At 38.2% G+C, this 22,657-nt stretch overlaps 1 protein-coding gene across 5 annotated transcripts in view; it reads left to right on the forward strand.

Moving 5' to 3' along the window:
* The window catches only part of CPED1 (cadherin like and PC-esterase domain containing 1), a 308,732-nt gene that overhangs the window by 68,221 nt on the left and 217,854 nt on the right, over nt 1-22,657 (forward strand). For all 5 annotated transcript variants that reach the window (NM_024913.5, XM_047420856.1, XM_047420857.1 and 2 more), the window contains one exon: nt 7,307-7,382. In NM_024913.5, the coding sequence (NP_079189.4) occupies nt 7,307-7,382 (76 nt within the window). The remainder of the gene's footprint in view (nt 1-7,306; nt 7,383-22,657) is intronic.

Consider the following 22,657-nt stretch of genomic DNA (forward strand, 5'->3'; position numbering starts at 1 on the left):
CTCTCTTCTCGTTATTTGAAATATACAACACATGCTCTCTATTTTTTCTTTTTTCTTTTTTTTTGAGATGGAGTCTCACTCTGCTGCCTAGGCTGGAGTGCAATGGCGCAATCTCGGCTCACTGAAATCTCCACCTCCCAGGTTCAAGCGATTCTCCTGCCTCAGCCTCCTGAGAATCTGGGAGTACAGGTGCACGCCACCAGACTCAGCTAATTTTTTTGTATTTTTAGTAGAGATGAGGTTTCATCATCTTGGTCAGGCTGTTCTCGAACTTCTGACCTCTTGATCCACCTGCCTCAGCCTCCCAAAGTGCTGGGATTACAGGTGTGAACCACCGTGCCCAGCCTCTAATTTTTATAATAATTTCAACTTTTATTTTAGATTCAGGAGTACATGTGTAGTTTTGTTACATGGGTATATTGTATAATGCTGAGGTTTGGGGTATGATTTTATCCTGTCACCCAGGTACTGAGCATAGTACCCTTTTTAACCCTTGCCCCCCACTTCTCCTCTGCAAGTCCCCAATTTCACTCACTGTGATCTTTATGTCCATGAGTACCCAGTGTTTAGCTCCTACTTATAAGTGAGAACATGCAGTATTTGATTTTCTGTTTCTGACTTAATTCACTTAGGATAATGGCTTTACACTAAATTTACACAAATACCATTTATCAAGATGAAGGCCACAAAAGGCCTGAGAGGCTTGACTTGCAGAATGTCTCAATAACTTTATTCTTGGTTTTATTGACTCATTCATTCATTCATTTATTCATCTATCCCTTCACTGTTTCTACAATTATTTATTAAACATATTTATTTAGCTCTACTTTAGGTGCTGGGAAGATAGCAATTAAACAATACAGACAAAAATATATATTACTGGGAAGCTTAGACATTTATGGGTAGACGGGGGAAAATAGTCGCTAAGTAATAATATGATAGATGGTAAAGAGCACTAAGGAGAAAAATAAAGCAAGGAGACAAAATATTGGGGGATTGAGTTTAAGATCACCAAGAAAGTGACATTTGAGTAAGGCCTGGAAGACAGGGCACTCCCCATGCCAGTGTCTGGGGTAAATCCACCAAGACTCAGAGGAGAGGAACAATAGGCCTACAGTAAAGGGAGAAAGTCTTGGTTGAGGAACGTAAGGAGTTCCATGTGACTGAAGTAGAGTGAATGTAGTAGGTGGTGAGGGCAGAGAGGTACCTGGAGCTGGGGAAGCTCAGCGATGGGGCCATTGGAACTGTCGTAAGGACTGCGGGCTTTTACTCTTGTTAAGTGGAGAGTAATTGGATGATTCTGAGCACGCAGATGACAGATGACATGAGTCCATTGGCATTTTTACAGGATTGCCTTGATTGTTTTGTCGAAGTAAGCTATCCATCAAGCAAAGACCAAAACAGGGAGACTAATTATCGTAATAATGTAGGTGTGAGATGAGAGGGACATGGGCTAGCAGAATAGCAATGGGGTGGTGAGCTGTGGCTAGATCCTGAAGACATTTTAAAGGTATAAATGACAAATAATAATAGCTCACACTTACATCTCCTTACTGCTTGCCAGGCACCATCCCAAGTGCTTACATGTTTATTTATGTCCATTCTTTACAGATGAGGAGACTGAGGCACAGAGAGGTTATAAAACTTGTCTAAGACCTCCTAGCTAATAAAACGACCAAGATGCAAACTCAGGCAGTCTCATTTCAACTTTATGTTTTCTTAATCATATCAATAGCACCTTTTGATGTATTTAGGCAAAGCACCTACAGCCTAACCTAATGAGTATTCTTAAGGAAACACAGATTCTAAATGATACATGTAGATAACTGTCACTCTATAACAGGAATAATTTGAAGCTTTATGAACCAAGACTTTATTATGTAAACAACATAGATATTCACAACAGAAGTTGGTTCAAATTTGTTGGAGATGTTGTAGAATTGTCAATAACCTTATAATGAACAAAGAGAGGACACTGGCTCAAATTAAGATTACTAATCCCATTAGAGCTTCATAATTTTAGAGCTTAATGAAAATGGTCATAAGATCTGTTATTGAAAATAAACTGCCAGGAGTCTCCCCAGTCAGCAGAATAGTAACATGAATTTAAAACCATTAGTCTGTGTGATGATAAAAGTGAAGCGAGGTCCATTATTTGGGGTAACACTAAGTTTAGTAATTGGGGCTGTATCTCACCGCAAGTAGACAGGTGCTAGTGTTTCAAAAGCAGAGAGATTGATTTCTAGCTCTAAATTGTTGTAGGATTAGCAGTCCCTAAAGCTAGGATGCTGTTCTTAGTACATAGGAGTACTGAGAACTACCAAATGGCTCTTATTTTAAAGCATCCCAGGGAATTTTCAGGTGAATTTGATGGAATGATAATTGCACTTGAGACATGGGGAGAAAACACATTTTTCTTTTGATCAGCTGGTTCTCCTAATTCCTCGTCATTAATTCTTTTCATTGTGGATGATAATGAACAGCTTTGGGAGAAGTTCTAATTTTTGTTCAAGTAAAAGCATGAACATTTCTACAGATATGAGGAAAAAGAGCATTTCTCTAAAATGCAACATGATGTGTGTGTCACTCTTAATGTTCAGGAACAATAAAAAAAATCAGTTTCTTCCCCCTCCAGTGTTTTCTTACATTTTGTAACTAGTTCAAATTCAGGTGTTCACGCTTCCTAATAAATTCATAATATTATTGTAGTTTTAGTTTTTTAATTTATAAGCACTCCATAAATGGTTATAATTAATATATTTTTGCCTTATTAACAGATTGTCTCAAAAGAATATTTTACTTTTGCCTCTGACAATATGTAATAGAAACAATTTAGATGCATATTATCACACATTAGTGAGAGGTGACAGCATGCTGGCAGTCCTCACAGCCTTCGCTCGCTCTCGGCGCCTCCTCTGCCTGGGCTCCCACTTTGGCCGCACTTCAGGAGCCCTTCAGCCCACTGCTGCACTGTGGGAGCCCCTTTCTGGGCTGGCCAAGACCGGAGCCGTCTCCCTCAGCTTGCAGGGAGGTGTGGAGGGAGAGGCGCGAGCGGGAACCCGGGCTGCGCGCGGCGCTTGCGGGCCAGCTGGAGTTCCGGGTGGGCGTGGGCTTGGCGGGCCCTGCACTCGGAGCAGCCGGCCGGCCCTGCCGGCCCGGGCAATGAGGGGCTTAGCACCCGGGCCAGCGGCTGCGGAGGGTGTGCTGGGTCCCCCAGCAGTGCCAGCCCAGTGGCGCTGTGCTCGATTTCTCGCCGGACCTGCAGCCCACCATGCCTGAGCCTCCCACCCCCTCCGTGGGCTCCTGTGCGGCCGGAGCCTCCCTGATGAGCGCCGCCCCTTGCTCCACGGCGCCCAGTCCCATCGACCACCCAAGGGCTGAGGAGTGCGGGCGCACGGCGCGGGACTGGCAGGCAGCTCCACCTGCAGCCCCCGGTGCGGGATCCACTGGGTGAAGCCAGCTGAGCTCCTGAGTCTGGTGGGGACGTGGAGAATCTTCATGTCTAGCTCAGGGATTGTAAATACACCAATCGGCACTCTGTATCTAGCTCAAGGTTTGTAAACACACCAATCAGCACCCTGTGTCTAGCTCAGGGTTTGTGAATGCACCAGTCCACTCTGTATCTAGCTATTCTGGAGGGGCCTTGGAGAACCTTTGTGTGGACACTCTGTATCTAGCTAATCTGGTGGGGAGGTGGAGAACCTTTGTGTCTAGCTCAGGGATTGTAAACGCACCAATCAGTGCCCTGTCAAAACAGACTACTGGGCTCTACCAGGCTCTACCAATCAGCAGGATGTGGGTGGGGCCAGATAAGAGAATAAAAGCAGGCTGTCCCAGCCAGCAGTGGCAACCCGCTCCGGTCCCTTTTCACGTTGTGGAAGCTTTGTTCTTTTGCGCTTTGCAATAAATCTTGCTGCTGCTCACTCTTTGGGTCCACACTGCCTTTATGAGCTGTAACACTCACTGCGAAGATCTGCAGCTTCACTCCTGAAGCCAGCGAGACCACGAGCCCCCCGGGAGGAACGAACAACTCCAGACGCGCCACCTTAAGAGCTGTAACACTCACCGCGAAGGTCTGCAGCTTCACTCCTGAGCCAGCGAGACCACGAACCCACCAGAAGGAAGAAACTCCGAACACATCTGAATATCAGAAGGGGCAAACTCCGGACACGCCGCCTTTAAGAACTGTAACACTCACTGTGAGGGTCCGCGGCTTCATTCTTGAAGTCAGACCAAGAACCCACCAATTCCAGACACATTAGGATTGTGAAAGGTATATTGGGATAGAAATCTCTTCTAATGCATATTCCCTTTTTCAAAAATTGATCTCATGGAAATATCCTAGGGTTTAAATATTATTATCATTTTATCAGTGCATTGTAATTCTTTTAAAGATATGAAAGGATTTGTGCTAAATAAGAAAAATGTCTGTGTATAAATATACACACATACACATAGATGCATATTGTATATATGGCATTCAAACCTAACACAAGATCTGTATATATTAAAAATGATAAAAAATGATAATTCGGATGATAATGATATGTAGGTTCATCAAGTGTAACACATGGCCCACTCTGGTGGGGGATGTTAATAATGGAGGAGGCTGTGTGTGTGTTGGGGCAGGGAGTATATGGGAAATCTCTGTGTCTTCTGCTTAATTTTGCTGTGAACCCAAAACAGCTATAAGAAATAAAGTCCATTAAAAAATAATTGCAATGTTAAGCTGGAGAAGCTCATCATATAAAAGTCAGTGAATCCAAATTAAAACTCCTTTGATGATGTTCCACTTAATGATGCAAATCTTATACATTTTATGATACGTGTAAAAGTAAAAATACGAAGCAGTAGGATATAGAAGAGTATTACTAGGTTTAACAATTAAAAAGTTATAATCTGTGTAATATAGTTGAGTTACTACAGCTGTATGACACATGACCCTTGAATGTTTTTACTTCTTTGTGCTGTTATTTTACTCAGTTTAACTGCTTAGTTTGGTGTTCAGTTCCAGAGTAGAATAGAGGTGATGTTTCTGGTGTCACATGTTGCTACAGTCATGTCGTCAGCCACACTATTAATTCTAAAGATGAACTTTGGAGGAAGGAACACAGGGAGAAGTCATTGTTTGGGGGACAGGAAAATAGAAGGCAGAAGGATAGAACAATTGTTTCCCTTGGCTTGGCTCTATTATTTTCAAGTGCTTTGTTGGTTAAGAGAAGGTTAGCAATGGATCAGAGTCAGTCCATAACCTTTAATGCTACTTACCCAGTGCTGATTCTCTTTCTGAATCATATTGTTAAGGATTCTATTAATTCACCAGCAACGGAATGATTTTGCCCTATTTAGGGAAAATGGCTCAATTTCATTGATTTTTGAAGCTTTTCACAGACTAATTTAGAAAGATACTTTGTGAACTTAAAAAACAAACAAACAAAAAATCTCTATTACAACACTACATTGTAAAAGTCCATACGGACACCAAAGTGTGTATTAGTCCTTTTTATTAGTCTATTATGGGTTATCTATACTTTTGCAATGCTGTTTGTTCCCTCCAGCCCTTTTTAAATTCTGGATTGAAGAATTCAGGGTTTATGAAAGCCCTTCTTTTTCTACATTTAGTTTCTGAGATTTCTCACTTTTGGATTTGAGAAATCGAGACAGCCTTAAGATTGAAAGTGTACTGCACTTACAGCCTTTTCTCAATTCTTAGTGCAAATGAATGTCAGTGACGTCCACTTTGATATGTTCTGGCTGTGTCCCCACCCAAATCTCATCCGGAATTATAGCTCCCATAATTCCCACGTGTTGTGGGAGGAACACAATGGGAGATAATTGAATCATGGGTGCGGTTTCCCCCATCCTATTCTCGTGGTAGTGAGTAAGTCTCACGAGATCTGATGGTTTTATAAGGGATTTTCCCTTTCACTTGGCCCTCATTCGCTCCTGCCTGCCACCATGTAAGGTATGCTTTTCACTTTCTGCCATAATTATGAGGCCTCCCCAGCCACGTGGAACTGTGAGTCCGTTAAAGCTCTTATTCTTTATGAATTACCCAGTCTCGCGTATGTCTTCAGCAGCAGCATGAAAAAGGACTAATAAACACTTTGGTGTCCTTGTGGACTTTTACAATGTAGTGTTTAGGAATGCCACTGGTGCAGAATCACAATAATAGGTTCTGCTGAAGCTAGGCTTCATTCATACAGGATCTGGGCTGAAGTTTTTCCTTCTTACAGCTATTATCGGGGAAAAGAGAGTTTGCTGAACACATGAACAGGGTTAATAAAGTAGCAAGGATTGGGGAAGATTTCATCAATGCACAGTTGCCAAGCACTTTAAATGAATCAGTTTTTAGAACTGTATCTTATTGATTTGGTAAAAATCTTAGAGCAGAAGTGGAACCTAGAGACTAAAAGCTCTAAATGCTTTATTTTGCAAATGAAGAAACTGAAAAAAAAAAAAAAAAAAAAAGCAAATGATGATTCTCTTAAGTGCCCGAAGCGAGCTACCACCCCTGTTTCCAGTTGCCTCTCTTCTCCAACTGCAGCTGGGTTATTTCTATCAAGTCATGCCAGCAGGACATAGTGCTGCAATACTTTATTAGGTTAGAGTGTGTTAATTTGAAAGTAATCAATATCTCAAAAATGAATCTGATTTTCAAGCTAATTTATACTGATCTGTTGGTTTTAACAAGGTTTTCTCATATTGGGTATTAGTTTGGGGATTAAGTGGATGATGTTAATCAATTTGTAGATTCACAGGAGAAGGGAAGAATTAAAGTTGTATCTTTTATAATCTTTTCAAACTCCATATATTTGAATTTATGATAATATTTACAAAGCTGTCTAAAAACAAGTTTTGGTTGAAGTGAAGTTTTGTGGGTGACTGGGTTTTATATTTAGAAATAATCCCTTCAGTATGAAGTGAAGAATGTTTATGAAATTTTGGAACGGGTTTAACACTGAATTGCCACTAAATATCAAGTTATTTATGTTACTATATTTGTCTCAAGTATTTTCTTTTATATTTAGCAAATATCATGGCTTCAAAATATGAAAGGGTTTTCAAAAAGTGATCCCAAGGACCACTTTTAAAGCTTCCCAGGGGCAAGTTTTAGTTTTATGTTATCAAATAAGCTACTTCATTATTCTGGATTTGCATGTTGACTTGCAGAGATTTGAAGGTGGGGTGTGGGTGGTTTAGACAGTGCATCCCATCTATACTCTCTGGGTTTTTTGTGTTTGCTTGGTTTTGCTTTAGCGTTGATGAATGCCTCACTCACTAGAATCTTTTTCATTCCTTTCAGGCAAACAGATTACCAGAAATACAGCAGCCACTTTGCAGAAAGGAAGGATTATGTCAAATAGTTAGAAGATTCCCAGGTAATCTTTCGTTTGCTTCCTTAGGCTTAAACATGTGAGATATGCAGGCTCCCTTAGCAGAAGCAGCTAACATGGTCTCAGGTCAGCATCTGTTGCTACTTTGTCTATCAATTCGGCAATCACAGATCTTCCGCAGTTCACAACGCTTTGCCAATGAAAAGACCTAAAGTGAGGAATAACAACCGTAACGTAACACTGGTGTTCTTTTAGTTTTGCCTTCTGATTTGCCAGATGAATATATTTCTTGTTCTCCTTTCTATTTGTTTTTAAAACAATTGCTGCTTTATTTTTAAAGTAATTACAGTAGTTCTCAGTTATGTAACACTTGGGGGTTTTTATCAAAGTATATATTTCTTTATGATTAAATTATTCTGATCCTAAAAACATTGTTTCTCCTTTCTGGAATCCTCTCAATTTGTCTGTGTGTTAAATACAGGACACTGAATGAATAAATTCTGCATTTTAACTATGTTAGGAATTTGGGACAAAAATTACCATCTTCAGTTTCCTCATAGGTTCCCAGAGTGGAAAAAGCATCAGAAGGTATATGAACCCTCATAGATGAAATAAGCCCTCATAGAAAAAATGATGGCCTACTTTAAAAGCCATCAGTGAAAGGGTTCCTCAAATTTCTTGTTTAAAACACATTTAATGTTTAATAGTTTATGTCCCCAGAAAGTTCTTTACTACATAATTAAAACTTAGATCTACATAGCTTTAATTTTGTTTTGTCTCCTAGTTGATTTGTTAACTAGTTAATTTGTCTCCTAGTTGAATCAGGAAACAAATAATCTATCTTAATCCATCAACTTTCCCATTGGGGTTTCTGCTCCCACTCCAAACGTAAACCACACTGGCATGTTCCACTGTAAAGACTGAAGTCATCGACTGATATTTACTGAGAATTAAAATAAAATAATCTCAATTCAACTTTCAATTTAAGATACATATCTAAACTAAACAGCTATGTAAATTTGGTTCTGTAGTTATTGTTTTATATGACAATTATAACTGACTACATAAGCTGAATTTTTTTTGTTTTTGTAAACTCTAGCTGGAGAGTTTTTCATCATATGAAAAAAGTAATGTTTTGGGGAGAAGCAAATAAAATAATTATTTTCGTTAATACAATATTAAAATATCCAGAAATTCTTTAGAAAAGGCAATCTGAAGAAATTTTTACTTTTGACCAGAACCTACAGATTTTAAAGTGTTTTTCTTTGTTGCTATTTACATTTCAGAATGCTTGATCCAGAACATTAAGTTTCTTCAGCTTTGTACTTAACAGAATAAAATCATAGAAATGAAAGGCTGTTTATGGTCAGAAATAGATTACCAGTGTTTTAAAAAGTTCCCCAAGCAATTCTTACATAAGTTTATATTTTACATTTGCTTCTGTAAAACTAAGAAGTATTTTCTATCTTCTTTTGCTTCAAACATTTTTTTTATTCTCGAGAACATCTAAGTTCTAGGCATTTGTAGTTCTTTCTACATTCTGTTTAGTGCATTAATTTTGTATTTATCTCTGTGAATAACAAGATAGTTTCACAGAATGCACAGCTTTTTAAATGGAATTATTTCTACCATCATGTTATCTTTCTCTAGATGAAGATAATTTTCTTACACGTGTAGCTTTAAAGAAATGTCTGCAGCATTATTTTCTGATCTAAGTTTTATAAAGCGTAGCTTTTGTTGTAGACTGTTGGTATAAATATATAATTCAATATTCACAAAATTAAAATTTTATTTGTTGTGAATACTGAATATTTAATATTGAATACAGATTAGGTAGTGACGTGTCAGCACCTAAATATAGGGTATGATTATAAAGGTGTAATAGTAAAACTAAACATAATACTATATAATCTAGACATTATATCAAAAGGCAAAATGTCCTGTGTAATTTTAAGCTGTGTTTCATTTGGAGGTTGACAAAACACAAATTTTGAAACCAGTGATTTTAGCTCTGCCACTTATTCTCTGTGTGACTTCAGGGGTTTTTTGTTTTTTGTTTTTTTAATCCACAAAGTGGGGTTAAGAATACCCATTTCATAGGTTTAATTTTAAAAGGCAGATTGTATATGTGTGTATATATAACTTAATTTGAAGAATAAGACATATTATACATTATTCCTAACACATAATGTCCAAATAATGGTAACTGGATTACCCTGGATTTGAAAAATCAAGCAGACAAAAATCCAGAGGCAAAAGGCCTCAGAACACTTAATATTTTCTCCCTTTACATGATAAATTATCACTAAGATTTTATCTTTCGGTCAAAAACTGTGAAGATCTTACCCCCTCTCACAAGCTTACAGGTCAACCTGTCTCAGTTTCATGGTTATTGGTAGAAGACATGAGATGCCTAGGTCAGAGACCAGTGACTTTTTTATTTATAGCAATAATGGTAAGCCAACTATCAGCACATGTACCAGTTCACTGAAGGCTGTTGGCCCTCTGTATCTGTGGGTTCCACATCCCTGGATTCAACCAACCATGGATAGAAGTATTAGGAAAAATAGTCTCACAAAGTTCCAAAAAGCAAAACTTGAATTTGCTGCATGTTGAGTATTACATTGAATCCGTGGAATGAAGTGATATGCAGGCATTGTGTTAGGTATTATAAGTAATCTAAAGATGACTTAAAATATACAGGAGGATTGCATAGATTATATGCAAATACGACATCATTTTATATGAGGAACTTGAGCACCCATGGATTTTAGTATCCATGGCTGGGGGGCACAGGGGGTGGGGTGCAGTCCTAAAACTAATCAACTATACTTAGTGGTTTGCATTTCTTTTTTTTTTATATACTTTAAGTTTTAGGGTACATGTGCACAACGTGCAGGTTTGTTACATATGTATACATGTGCCATGTTGGTATGCTGCAACCATTAGCTCGTCATTTAACATTAGGTATATCTCCTAATGCTATCCCTCCCCCATTCCCCCACCCCACAACAGGCCCTGGTGTGTGATGTTCCCCTTCCTGTGTCCATGTGTTCTCATTGTTCAATTCCCACCTATGAGTGAGAACATGTGGTGTTTGTTTTTTTGTCCTTGCGATAGTTTGCTGAGAATGAAGGTTGCAGCTTCATTCATGTCCCTACAAAGGACATGAATTCATCATTTTTTATGGCTGCATAGTATTCCATGGTGTACACGTGCCACATTTTCTTAATCCAGTCTATCATTGTTGGACATTTGGCTTGGTTCCAAGTCTTTGCTATTGTGAATAGTGCCGCAAAAAACATACGTGTGCATATGTCTTTATAGCAGCATGATTTGTAATCCTTTGGGTATATACCCAGTAATGGGATGGCTGGGTCGAATGGTATTTCTAGTTCTAGATCCCTGAGGAATCGCCACGCTGACTTCCACAATGGTTGAACTAGTTTACAGTCCCACCAACAGTGTAAAAGTGTTCCTATTTCTCCACCTCCTCTCTAGCACCTGTTGTTTCCTGACTTTTTAATGATGGCCATTCTAACTGGTGTGAGATGGTATCTCATTGTGGTTTTGATTTGCATTTCTCTGATGGCCAGTGATGATGAGCATTTTTTCATGTGTGTTTTGGCTGCATAAATGTCTTCTTTTGAGAAGTGTCTGTTCATATCCTTTGCCCACTTTTCGATGGGGTTGTTTGTTTTTTTCTTGTAAATTTGTTTGAGTTCTTTGTAGATTCTGGATGTTAGCCTTTTGTCAGATAAGTAGATTGCAAAAATTTTCTCCCATTCTGTAGGTCGCCTGTTCACTCTGATGGTAGTTTCTTTTGCTGTACAGAAGCTCTTTAGTTTAATTAGATCCCATTTGTCAATTTTGGCTTTTGTTGCCATTGCTTTTGGTGTTTTAGACAAGAAGTCCTTGCCCATGCCTATGTCCTGAATGGTATTGCCTAGGTTTTCTTCTAGTGCTTTTATGGTTTTAGGTCTAACATTTAAGTCTTTAATCCATCTTCAATTAATTTTTGTATAAGGTATAAGGAAGGGATCCAGTTTCAGCTTTCTACATATGGCTAGCCAGTTTTCCCAGCACCATCTATTAAATAGGGAATCCTTTCCCCATTGCTTGTTTTTGTCAGGTTTGTCAAAGATCAGATAGTTGTAGATATGTGGCATTATTTCTGAGGGCTCTGTTCTGTTCCATTGGTCTATATCTCTGTTTTGGTACCAGTACCATGCTGTTTTGGTTACTGTAGCCTTGTAGTATAGTTTGAAGTAAGGTAGTGTGATGCCTCCAGCTTTGTTCTTTTGGCTTAGGATTGACTTGGCAATGTGGGCTCTTTTTTGGTTCCATATGAACTTTAAAGTAGTTTTTTCCAATTCTTTGAAGAAAGTCATTGGTAGCTTGATGGGGATGGCATTGAATCTATAAATTACCTTGGGCAGTATGGCCATTTTCACAATATTGATTCTTCCTACCCATGAGCATGGAATGTTCTTCCATTTGTTTGTATCCTCTTTTATTTTATTGAGCAGTGGTTTGTAGTTCTCCTTGAAGAGGTCCTTCACATCCCTTGTAAGTTGGATTCCTAGGTATTGTATTCTCTTTGAAGCAATTGTGAATGGGAGTTCACTCATGATTTGGCTCTCTGTTTGTCTGTTGTTAGTGGTTTGCATTTCAAAAGAGGAACCCAGAGCTTAGGAAGTTTGAATCTTTAATAATGTGCAGTGAGTATGCCTACCATTTGCCCCAGAGGGAGACATTAAATTTATTATACTGGACAAAAATATAAACTTTCCTTTGCTCTGGAGTGAGGCACTATCTCTTTTTCAAGGCTTTCCACTATATAAATATCTTTGAAAAGCTAGTTCAGAACAAATGTGGTCAGTGCCTCTGTTTGCAAAATGTGCAGAAATATTAAAGATAGATAGAGCAGTGTCTCCAACAATTTCAGAGAGGAATACCTAACAAGTCCTAACTCTGAGGCTTAGTTATCGTATAATTCTGAGCAAGACTTAAAACTTACTTGTACTTCAGTTTTCTTCTCTCTAAAAATACAAAGTTTGGCAATGATCAATAATGCTGAAATCCCATAATTCTGCTGTGCCTTTTCCCCATATAGACTTGTCACAGACTTTATCTTCAGTAGTAGGTAGAGACAGGAATGCTAAGAAAGGAGAGATGATCATGCTGGTAAATGTGGCTGGAACCCATGCAAGTGAGGCAGGACAGAGTGTTGGCTAGATGCAGTGGAGTGATTGGAGATCGCACGTAAGGCTAACACAGTCTGTTCCATTCCATAGCCAGAGTGTACCTGACATTAGACTTGTGACTCACATTGAAGGGCACACATCCACGGAATTTTTACTGGCTAGCACAAAGATTTATTTTTATCTTGCCATTTAATGCTTTGCCTTTTGAAAAAAAAGTGTCATACTTGTTAGTTGGCCCAAATTTGTTGCTAATGTTTTTTGTTGCTTTTTATTAAGTTTGCTCATTTTGATAAAAGGGAATTTTTCATCATATTTGAAAGACAAGTATAAAACAAAACATAAGAGAACTGTTTTGCTTGGGCTGTGAGTTGTTGTTTTTGTTCTTTTTAGTACAGCATCGCCATCTAAAAAATCCTGGTTAAAAGTTTGCCCAATTTTTGGCCATAACTCATTCATTCCAGTAGTTTTATCTTAGCTCTGAGCACTGACCTTCATGTGAAGCTTGAAATATACCAGGACTTGTATTCAAAGATAGCATTTTGAACATTTTAGGATTTGTGTCCTCATTTTAAAAGTAACATGTGAGTATATAAAGAAAAATAATAGGTAAAAACACCTTTTGTTGTATCAAAAACAAGACAGAGCTTTAAAAATTATAGATACTATTTACTACCAAATATAAAATATATCTTCAAAATAATATAATTAATATATAATTTATATTTAATATAATTAAAATAATTTTTAAACATTGACCAATAATAGTTATTTATTTTAGGTGGCACTGATGATTACTCTTAATATCCCAGGTCTAATATTCTAAGCAAACTTTCAGAGAAGGTTAAAGTTTGCTTGTTCTCTGTGTTCTCAAATCCTGATACCCCCTCTCTGTGGATTCTGTGGGCTCCTTAATGCTTCTGTCATTCCAAAGAATCTCACCTCTCTCCCAAACATGATTATATTCCTTATGCAAAACATTCCACTCCCAAGTAAAATTCTCATCTCTTTAATATGACTGACTTCAGCTAGGTAATAGCAGAAAGTAAGCTGATGGAACTAATTCAGACTAAATTATACCCTCACCCCAGTATAAGCCTCTTAGATGTATTTGCATTTTTATAAAAGAAGCTTGCAAACCCAATGAATTTCTAATTGGTAGAATTTCTGGAAGTGCATTCAAATTCCCATTTAATTCATCAGTAAGCCATCCATCCCCAAAACTTACCGAATTCATCCACTTTTCTCCATCTCTACCATGACCAGCCTAGTCCAAATCAGCAGTCTCTCATATTCTTCTCACTTCCTTTCTTGCTCCTAAATAATCCAGTCCATTCCGTTATCCAGACTCTAGCCAGATTGATCTTCCTCCCACCAGTTCGTAAATAACTGAAGCAAGTTTATTAGGTCTGCTCACATAAGTCTGTTTAGGGACTGAAACAGTACAGCCTAGGTCACCAACTCTTTGATGTTCTGACTTGATCCAGGGACAGATTTTATCTAGAATAGGAACAACAAGCCCAAATGCTCACAGGGCCTTGGCATGTGACATAACAAATTTCCTAATAAATTCAGAAGCTTTAGAGGCCAGATAACCTGCACCTTTTCAGTATTTGGCCTGCCATCTAATGTAGAGACTTTAACAAAAGCCATTTGGTCTCCAAGAAGAGAAGAGTTGAAGATACAGGAAAGTACAAGACAGGAGCAAGTGGTCTCACTGAGACATCTCTCGGCAAGGTTGGAAACCTCTGGATAAATTTCCTCATGTTTCTTATCCCTGTACAATTCAGTAACCATTAGGATTCAGATCCCATCCAGTGGTCTAGTCCTTCTTCTCCCACTTCCTCATTCACATGGTTTCCTATACTCCTTTCCCTCAGCACATTCCCTTAGCCCTTGGTAACTTTAGCTGCCATTTTCCCTCACAAAACAGAAATTTTGCTAGCCAAGGATGACACTGAAGCTGGGTTATTTAATTAAAACTTTACTCTCTGGTATTAGCAGGGATTTTTCAACATATCTTTGCTACTTTTTCTTACTATCATCTAGTAGCTTTTGAACCATTCAACTCTTTTTTATTATTATTTCTTTTGAGACGAGGTCTCACTATATTGCCTAGGCTGGCCTTAAATTCCTGGGTTCAAATGATCCTTCTGCCTCCACCTCCCAAGGGGCTGAGACTACAGGAGCGGGCCACCATGCCTGGCTCATCCAACATATTTGACAAGAAACTTGTCACTTGGGTTAATTTCTTCCTCTCCATTTCAAATCTGCAATCATTCTTGTCAGTTTCAACATCTGTAAAGATGGGCCTTTAATTTCATCAGCCGAATCTCATAGCTCTTTGAGTTTATCCATGATCTCATTTCTCTTCAGCTTCAGCTTCAGCCTCCCACCTCTGTAGCCCTGCTCAGTAACTTTTATCACCCACAACTGTCTCTGGAAGCTCAAACTTACCACTTTATAATCACTTTCTTTTGGCCTTCCTCATTCCTTCAACACCACCAATCTTGGAAACTCAGATGACATTTTTGGTAATCTTAATTCTGTCACTTTCCCCAAGTCCAACAGTCATTTTTTAAATCATAATTTCTTTGCTGCCAAGCCTGGACCATTTAATCTGTCAGCTGAGGTAGAAACACCTGGAACATTCTTTCACACTAGCGCTTAAGCCACCAACCAATTCTACATTCTGATTTCTCTTTTCCTATACAAAAAAAAAAAAAAACATGGGAGTAAATTGCACAGTGTGCTGTTCCCTCCCCCTAGGATGCCTTCCTCACTTACTAAAATAGAAAAAATAGATCACACTAATTCTGCAATTGTCAGCTCAACCACCACCACCACAAAGAAAATTGACTAGTGGCCACTGAATTAGCCTCACTCAATTACCCTCTAAAATACTTAGGAAAATTCATACCAAAAAATTTTAAGAACTACTCCCAGCATTCATAGTATAGAAGAATCTAGGATAAATTTCCATGCATTCCAAGGCTGATGTTAACTAAATTTTAGTTCCTAATGCTTTTTTCAATTCAGTATGGGTAGAGGAACCCTGTACCTCCATGATCAGGATGTATTTTTAAAAGAAAAGCCAGCAGAATGTGCTGATGGTTGAGATGTGGTTTATAAAAGAAAGTACCCCTAGAGTTTTTTCCAGTCATTAGTTGAGATAGACAAATTAGACAGTGGGAAATAGAGCATTAATCTGTCAGTCAACCATAGGATTAAGAGAAGACACACGGCAGTTCACAGACACATTTCTTCCAATTTGAGCATATTGGTTTTAAAATGAAATATATATATGAAAATGAGTATCCCAACCAAAGATAATTACTAGAAAAGTTTTTGTGTATACATTTCATACGAAAAATTTAAACTTGCTTTTTTAGACATTGACTCAAGAGTATCTTCAGAGTGAAGTCTACCTAATTGGCTAAGATAGATTTACACTATGTTTCCTCTGTGTTCTTATTATACCTTGAAAAGCCTCCATTGTAGCAGTGTCACAATGTGGCTTTGTTGCACAGTTGACCCTTGAACAGTGCAAGTGTTAGAAGCACTGACACCTCGTGCACTTGAAGACTTGCCCATAACTTTTGACTCCCCCAGAACTTAACTACTAATGGCCTACTGATGACTGAAGCCATACTGATAAAATAAACAGTCAATTAACACATACTTTGTATGCTGTATGTATTATATACTGTATTTTTATAATAAAATAAGCTAGAGAAAACAATATGTTATTAAGAAAACCATAAGGAAGAGAAAATACATTCACTGTTTATTAAGTGGAAGTGGATCATCATGAAGGTCTTCATCCTCATCATCTTCATGCTGAGTAGATTGAGGAGATGGAAAAAGAGGAGGGTTTGGTTCTGCTGCCTCGGGGAGGCATAGGCAGAGCTGGTGGAGGAAGTGGAAAAGGAGGCAGAGGCAGGCATACTCAGTGAAGCTTTACAAAGTATATCATAATTTCTGTCTGACTTTTTTGCTTTTTCATTTCTCTAAAAATGTTTCTACATAACACCAGTCCTTCTTCTACAGTTTACTTTAGCTTCAGTGCCCATATCGTAGAAGGGTTCAGTTGTAAAAGAGGTCAAAAGCCGTATTGTGTAATGCGAACCCTTCTTCCAGGTTGTCTAATGTCAACTTGTTTTCTGGCACTGCTTCTTCTTCATCTTCTTCATGATCTGGTACTTGTTTGGAAGGACTCATCTCCATGAAATCATGAATACTTCAAGTTATCTTTTGTTAATTCCTCTGGTGTGGTGTCTATTTGCTCTTGAATTTCTCCAAGATCCATATCTTGAAACCCTTCACCTCTTCCCATTTTTTTTTTTTTTTTTTTGCCAAATCCACAAATTATTTCACAATTTCCTTGACTGGCTCTCTCATTAATCATGTAAAGCCATGCACAACATTGGGACACAGTTTTCTCCAGCAGGAATTTATTCTTTTGGGCTGATGGTTTTCATGGCTTTTTCTATAGCAACAGTGGCATCTTCAGTGGTGTAATCCTTCCAGATTTTCATGATGTTCTCTCTGTTGGAGCTCTCTTCCATAGCTCTGACAATCCTTTCCAAAGAGTACTGTGTATAATGAGCCTTAAAGATCCTATTACCCCCTGATTTAGAGGCTGAATTAGAGACATTGTGTTTGAGGGCAAGTAGACCACTTTGATGCCTTCAAAGTGTAGAGCTCATGGGGTTCTGTGTGATCAGGGTCATTGTCCAATGTGAAAAGAACTTTAAAAGCAGTCTCTTACTGGCAAAGTATTTCCTGACTTCAGGAACAAAGCATTGATGGAACCAATCCAGAAAAGGGGCTCTTGTCCAGGCCTTGTTGTATAGCCAAAAGACTGGCAGCTGGCATTTATCTTTGCCCATCAAGGCTCAGGGGTTAGAAGCTTTATAAGGACAGACCTGATCCTAAACCCAACTGCGCTTTCACAAAAGAGTTGAGTTAGCCTACTCCTCCCTACCTTAAATCCTAGTGCTCACTTCACTTCCTTACTAATAAATTTCCTTTGTGTTTTTTTTTTTTTTTTTTGAGGGCACCTTCATCTGCATTAAAAACCTGTTCAGGCAGATATCCTTTCTCCTCAATGATTTTCTTAATGGTGTCTGGGAACTCGTCTGCTGCCTCTTAGTTGGCAGAAAATGCTTCTCCTGTTACCCTGACATTTTTTAAGCCAAACGTCTTTTTGAAATTATTAAGCCATCCTTTGCTAGCATTAAAATCTCACCTTTAGATCCTTTACCTTTCTTTTGCTTTAAGTTGTCATATAATGACTTTGCTTTCTCTTGAATCACATTAGAGCCTGTAGGCATGCCTTTCTTTTAGCAATCCTCCACTCACATAAAAGCTGCATTTTCAATACAAGATAAAAAGGTGTTTCACAAAAAATGCAATGTTTTCACACCTGCTTGTGTAGCTGCAGTGATGGCTTTATGAATTTTATTTTCTTTTGTTTACCATGGTCCATATGCTGGATTCATTTATTTTAAAATGGTGGGCAACTGCAGCTACAGACCTCAATCTGTGGTACACATCAAGGCATTCAGCATTTTCCTGTGATGTTGTGGATTTGTCTCCTTCTTGGGAGCATTTTCAGCATTACTAGAGGTACTTTGTATGAGTCCTACGGTGTTATTCAAGGTTACAGCATGGCATTAAACAAGATGAAAAATACACAAGAACAACAGGAGGTTTTATTTTATTTTTTTTAGTTTTTACTGCAATACACAGTTTACTGGTCTGACAAATTGCTCAGGAGAAAATGATTAGCATCACAAGTCATTTTAAGCAAACACTGGAAATACTTGTGCTCACTGCGATAGCAACAGGAGATGGCTACAAAATTATTATAGTAGTATGGTGTATACTACCGTTAATTTTATGCTGTTATGATTTAATACTGCATTTTTACATTTGTTTACCTTTCTCTCTACAGTGCCATGCATGGTCTCAATATGTTCATGTGTATAAGTTTTTATTTATTTTTTTTGAGGCAGAGTCTTGTTCTGTCACCCAGGCTGGAGTGCAGTGGCGCGATCTTGCTGCAACTTTCTCCTCCCAGGTTCAAGTAGTTCTCCTGCCTCAGCCTCCTGAGTAGCTGGGATTACAGGCATGTGCTGCCATGCCCGGCTAATTTTTGTTATTTTTAGTAGAGGTAGGGTTTCACCATATTGGTCAGGCTGGTCTCGAACTCCTGACCTCACGTGATCCACCCATCAATAAATTTTAACTTTTTGTAAGATTTATGTACATTGCATGATAGTAAGTGATGAAATAGGCTGAAATCTACATATATTTTACATTTTCATGGCATATCTTTTTCTTAATTTTTAAAATATTACTTGGCTGTGTGGTTCAACTTTGAGCTTTTTAAAAAATCGTTGCAAATTTCCAAAATTTTTCCCAATATATTTATTGAAAAAACAATCTACATATTAGTGAACCCATGCAGTTCAAACCCATGTTGTTCAAGAGTCAGCTGTATTTGTATGTGTTTGTCTCCCCCACAAGGACTGAGACGCCCTGAGGGTGGGACATTATTTTTTCACTTTTCAAATTCAGTACATGGTCATAGTCCCTAATATATAATAGTCACTCTAATAATTTTGAATGAAACATGCTAACCATGGGGGCCAGAATTAAGGAAGGGGAACACTGCCAATTATCAGAGAGTTTTGGCAATGCCTGGACTGATTTCTCTATGTATGCATTATGAGCTCGATATTGAGCTGATGCTATGGGGCAAATAATAAGGGTAGGATAAATCAAAAATATAATTCCCCACTCCTGCGAGACATAATTAACCATTTTAAATAATAAGCTTTCTACATGTGTGAAAGAACTAGAGAACTAGTTTTAATATTGTCCATAAACTAGGTAGAAAGATAGTAACAGCTTTCATAATATAGGATCAATTTCTGGGTGGTTACCATTGCAGCTGAGAGACTGTTACTGCTATCTAAAAGGACAGGTTTGACCCTTTCTTATGTGGTTGGTTGATCCTTATGCATGTGGTCTGGAGATGAACAAGTAATTTTTTCAGGCTGACTCATAGTTTTGTACATTTCAACCCAAGTCTTTTAGTATTCGTTCACCTTTCATTTGAGGAGAAGCTAAGTGCTGACTGCCAGAGGATGGAATAGGAAGACAATGGTGAGAGTTTTCTCTCTCTTCTTATCCAGCAATGTTTTAGTACTTCTTATAGATTAGCTCTCTGGGAAGTGTCTTCATCCTAATGGTTCTGTATTCAGGGAAAAGGGAATAAATCTGCTATTTCTTGCTGACTATCGGGCTTTAGCTTTTCTTCTCCACGGATCTTGTAAAGAAAAAAGTGAGGGTGTATGATATATGGCCAGAAAAACCTAAATCAGAAAGAAAGAACATTGATCTAGATTGCAGTGGATATTGGTGGATTTTTTTAAAGCTCTAAACTTTAAAAAAAAATACTCAGGAGTCCCATATAACCAAGAAAGAAATAGAATGACTGTGATAAAGGGTAGGATCCTCTGCCCTGTATCCTCCTCTTTGCCCTTTATTTTCTTCCTCCTGGTGGCCCCTGGAGACTCCTGCTTGACACCACTCCATCCCCCATGAAACTTGGGAGAGTTCAGTCTGAAAATAATGACTCCAGATAAGGAACTCTAGAGTAGATTAACAGCAATCAGTGGTGGTGGGTATATTTTCTACCCCCACTTTTTTGTGATTCTCTCTATTTATCAAAAATGAAACTTAGTAGACATGTTCTTCTTTTTCTTTCCTGTATCCTTTTTAGGTTTCTAGCCATCCATGAGAAGGAAGTTAATGAAAATGGAAGTCAAATTTTAAAAATGACTGGACATGCATTTTTTCATTCCTTTTAGCTTTTGCTTTTATTATGTCTTTATTAAACAGTAAGACATTCATATGAAAAGAATAGAAAATACAGATAAGCAAAAAGAAAGCAAAAAATGAATTTAGTGAAATTACATACCTTTCCCATTCATGTGCAATTTTTACATACTAGAATGCTACATAATTCAAGTGTGAACAAATTATTGCACATTTATTGGTGGGAAACTGAAGACATAAATAATGGATATCTACATTTAATGTTACAAAAATGTTCCAACCATATTGTTGAGTTAAAAATAATAGAAAGGAAAGTAGGCTCAATAATGCATACATTATATATATATGTATTAATATATTTTATATATTTTTCCATTTATACAATATGTATTTAAAATGTATATTAACAATATGCTTTGTTTTAAAATAGATACACTTACATATTTACAAACATACTAATTTTTTTAAATGTAAATATATACTTGTCTTTTACCTTTATTTATGGTATTTCTAGGCTCACATACGTTTAAAATTTTTATATAATCAAATTATTATTTTTAAAGTGTTTTTTACACCTCACTTTCAGGCTTAGAGTATCCTCAGAAGTAATTAGAATTTACCTTGCTCGGTTAGTTTTTTCTTTTTATACTCTGTTGTTCAGTACTTTATGATTTGTTTTTCGCTTCTTACTTTTTACTTCATACTACTATATGATTTGTATTTTTTGTTTTGTTTTTGTTTTTGAGATGGAGTCTCACTCTCGCCAGGCTGGAGTACAGTGGCACGATCTCCTGTCATTGCAATCTCCACTCCTGAGTTCACGTGATTCTCCTGCCTCAGTCTCCCGAGTAGCTGGGACTATAGGTGTGCACCACCACACCCAGCTAATTTTTGTATTTTTGATAGAGATGGGGTTTCATCATGTTGGCCAGGGTGGTCTCAATTTCTTGACCTTGTGATCCACCCTCCTTGGCCTCCCAAAGTGCTGGGATTACAGGTGTGAGCCACTGCACGTGGCCTGATTTGTTTTTTAATTTTTAGTGGAGCATGACATTTTCATAAGCCATTTCTTAGTTTTGAAGTAAACGACTTTTCTAGGAGGACTGCTTGTGGCCAGGAGTTTGAGACCAGCCTGGGTAACATGAGATCCTGTCTCTGGAAAGAAAGAAAGAAAGAAAAAAAAAAAAAAAAAAAAAAAAAAAGACTTCTATTATTGACATACTAGTTGAAACTCTGACCATTTTATGCTTGAATTGCATATATCCTAACTATTTCTGTATGTTGGCCTTATTCTCTCTTTCTGCAGATGGGCTTTCTCCACATGATGGAGAAGATGGCTGCCAGGTACTCCCTGTTCAGAAATGCAGCCACTTCCTTTTCACCTCCAAACTGGGAGACCAACATGTGTCAACAGCCCACTCTGCTCAACACTGTGACCAGGAGAATAGCTCCTGTGAATGGTTGGGCTGAGGCTGCTCCCATGGGCACTGTATTAGTTTGCTAGGGCTGCCGTAACAAAGTACCACAGACTGGGTGGCTTAAACAAAAGAAATTTCATTTCCACAGTTCTGGAGGCTGGAAGTCTAAGATAAGGTGTCAGCAGAGCTGCTTTCTTCTGGGGCCTCTCTTTGACTTGCAGATGACCGCCTTCTTGGGATGTTCTCACATGTTCTTTTCCTTATGTGCAAGCCTATGTCTGTGTCCTGTTCCCCTCAGGACATCAGCCATATTGGATTAGGGCACACTCAAGTGATTTCATTTCACTTTAACTACCTCCTTAAAGGCCCTATCTTCACATACACCCATATTCCCAGGGACTGGAGGTTAGGACTTCAACATATAAATATGGGGGAGGAACACAATTTGGCTCATAGCAGCCAGGGATGGGTGGAGAAGACAGAAGGCTGCGAGTAGCAGATTCATGATATCACATGGAAACGAGAGAACAGATCCCCAAAGAAGAAAGAGACACTGGACAAAAACAATAGATGTGTATTAGTAGAGGTGTTTGAAAAATGTTTGTTGACTGCTTATGGTAAAGCCCATGGAATTCTTAGGCAGATGTAGTCCTTTCAAAATCATTTTAAAGTAAGGAAATATTAATCTTTCCTTCCCTTCAGCACCAAGAACTCTGATACTGCCCACTGGCTACCCAGGTGCCCATCTGCTGGTCTATATGTAGAATTGCCTTTCTGTGCCATGCTTGGTTCTTTGTCTCGCAAAAGATAGACCAGGCTCACTTAGCCAAAGGTGTCTCTTGCTCCT

This window comes from Homo sapiens, chromosome 7, assembly GCF_000001405.40.
Source record: "Homo sapiens chromosome 7, GRCh38.p14 Primary Assembly".
NCBI lineage: Eukaryota > Metazoa > Chordata > Mammalia > Primates > Hominidae > Homo > Homo sapiens.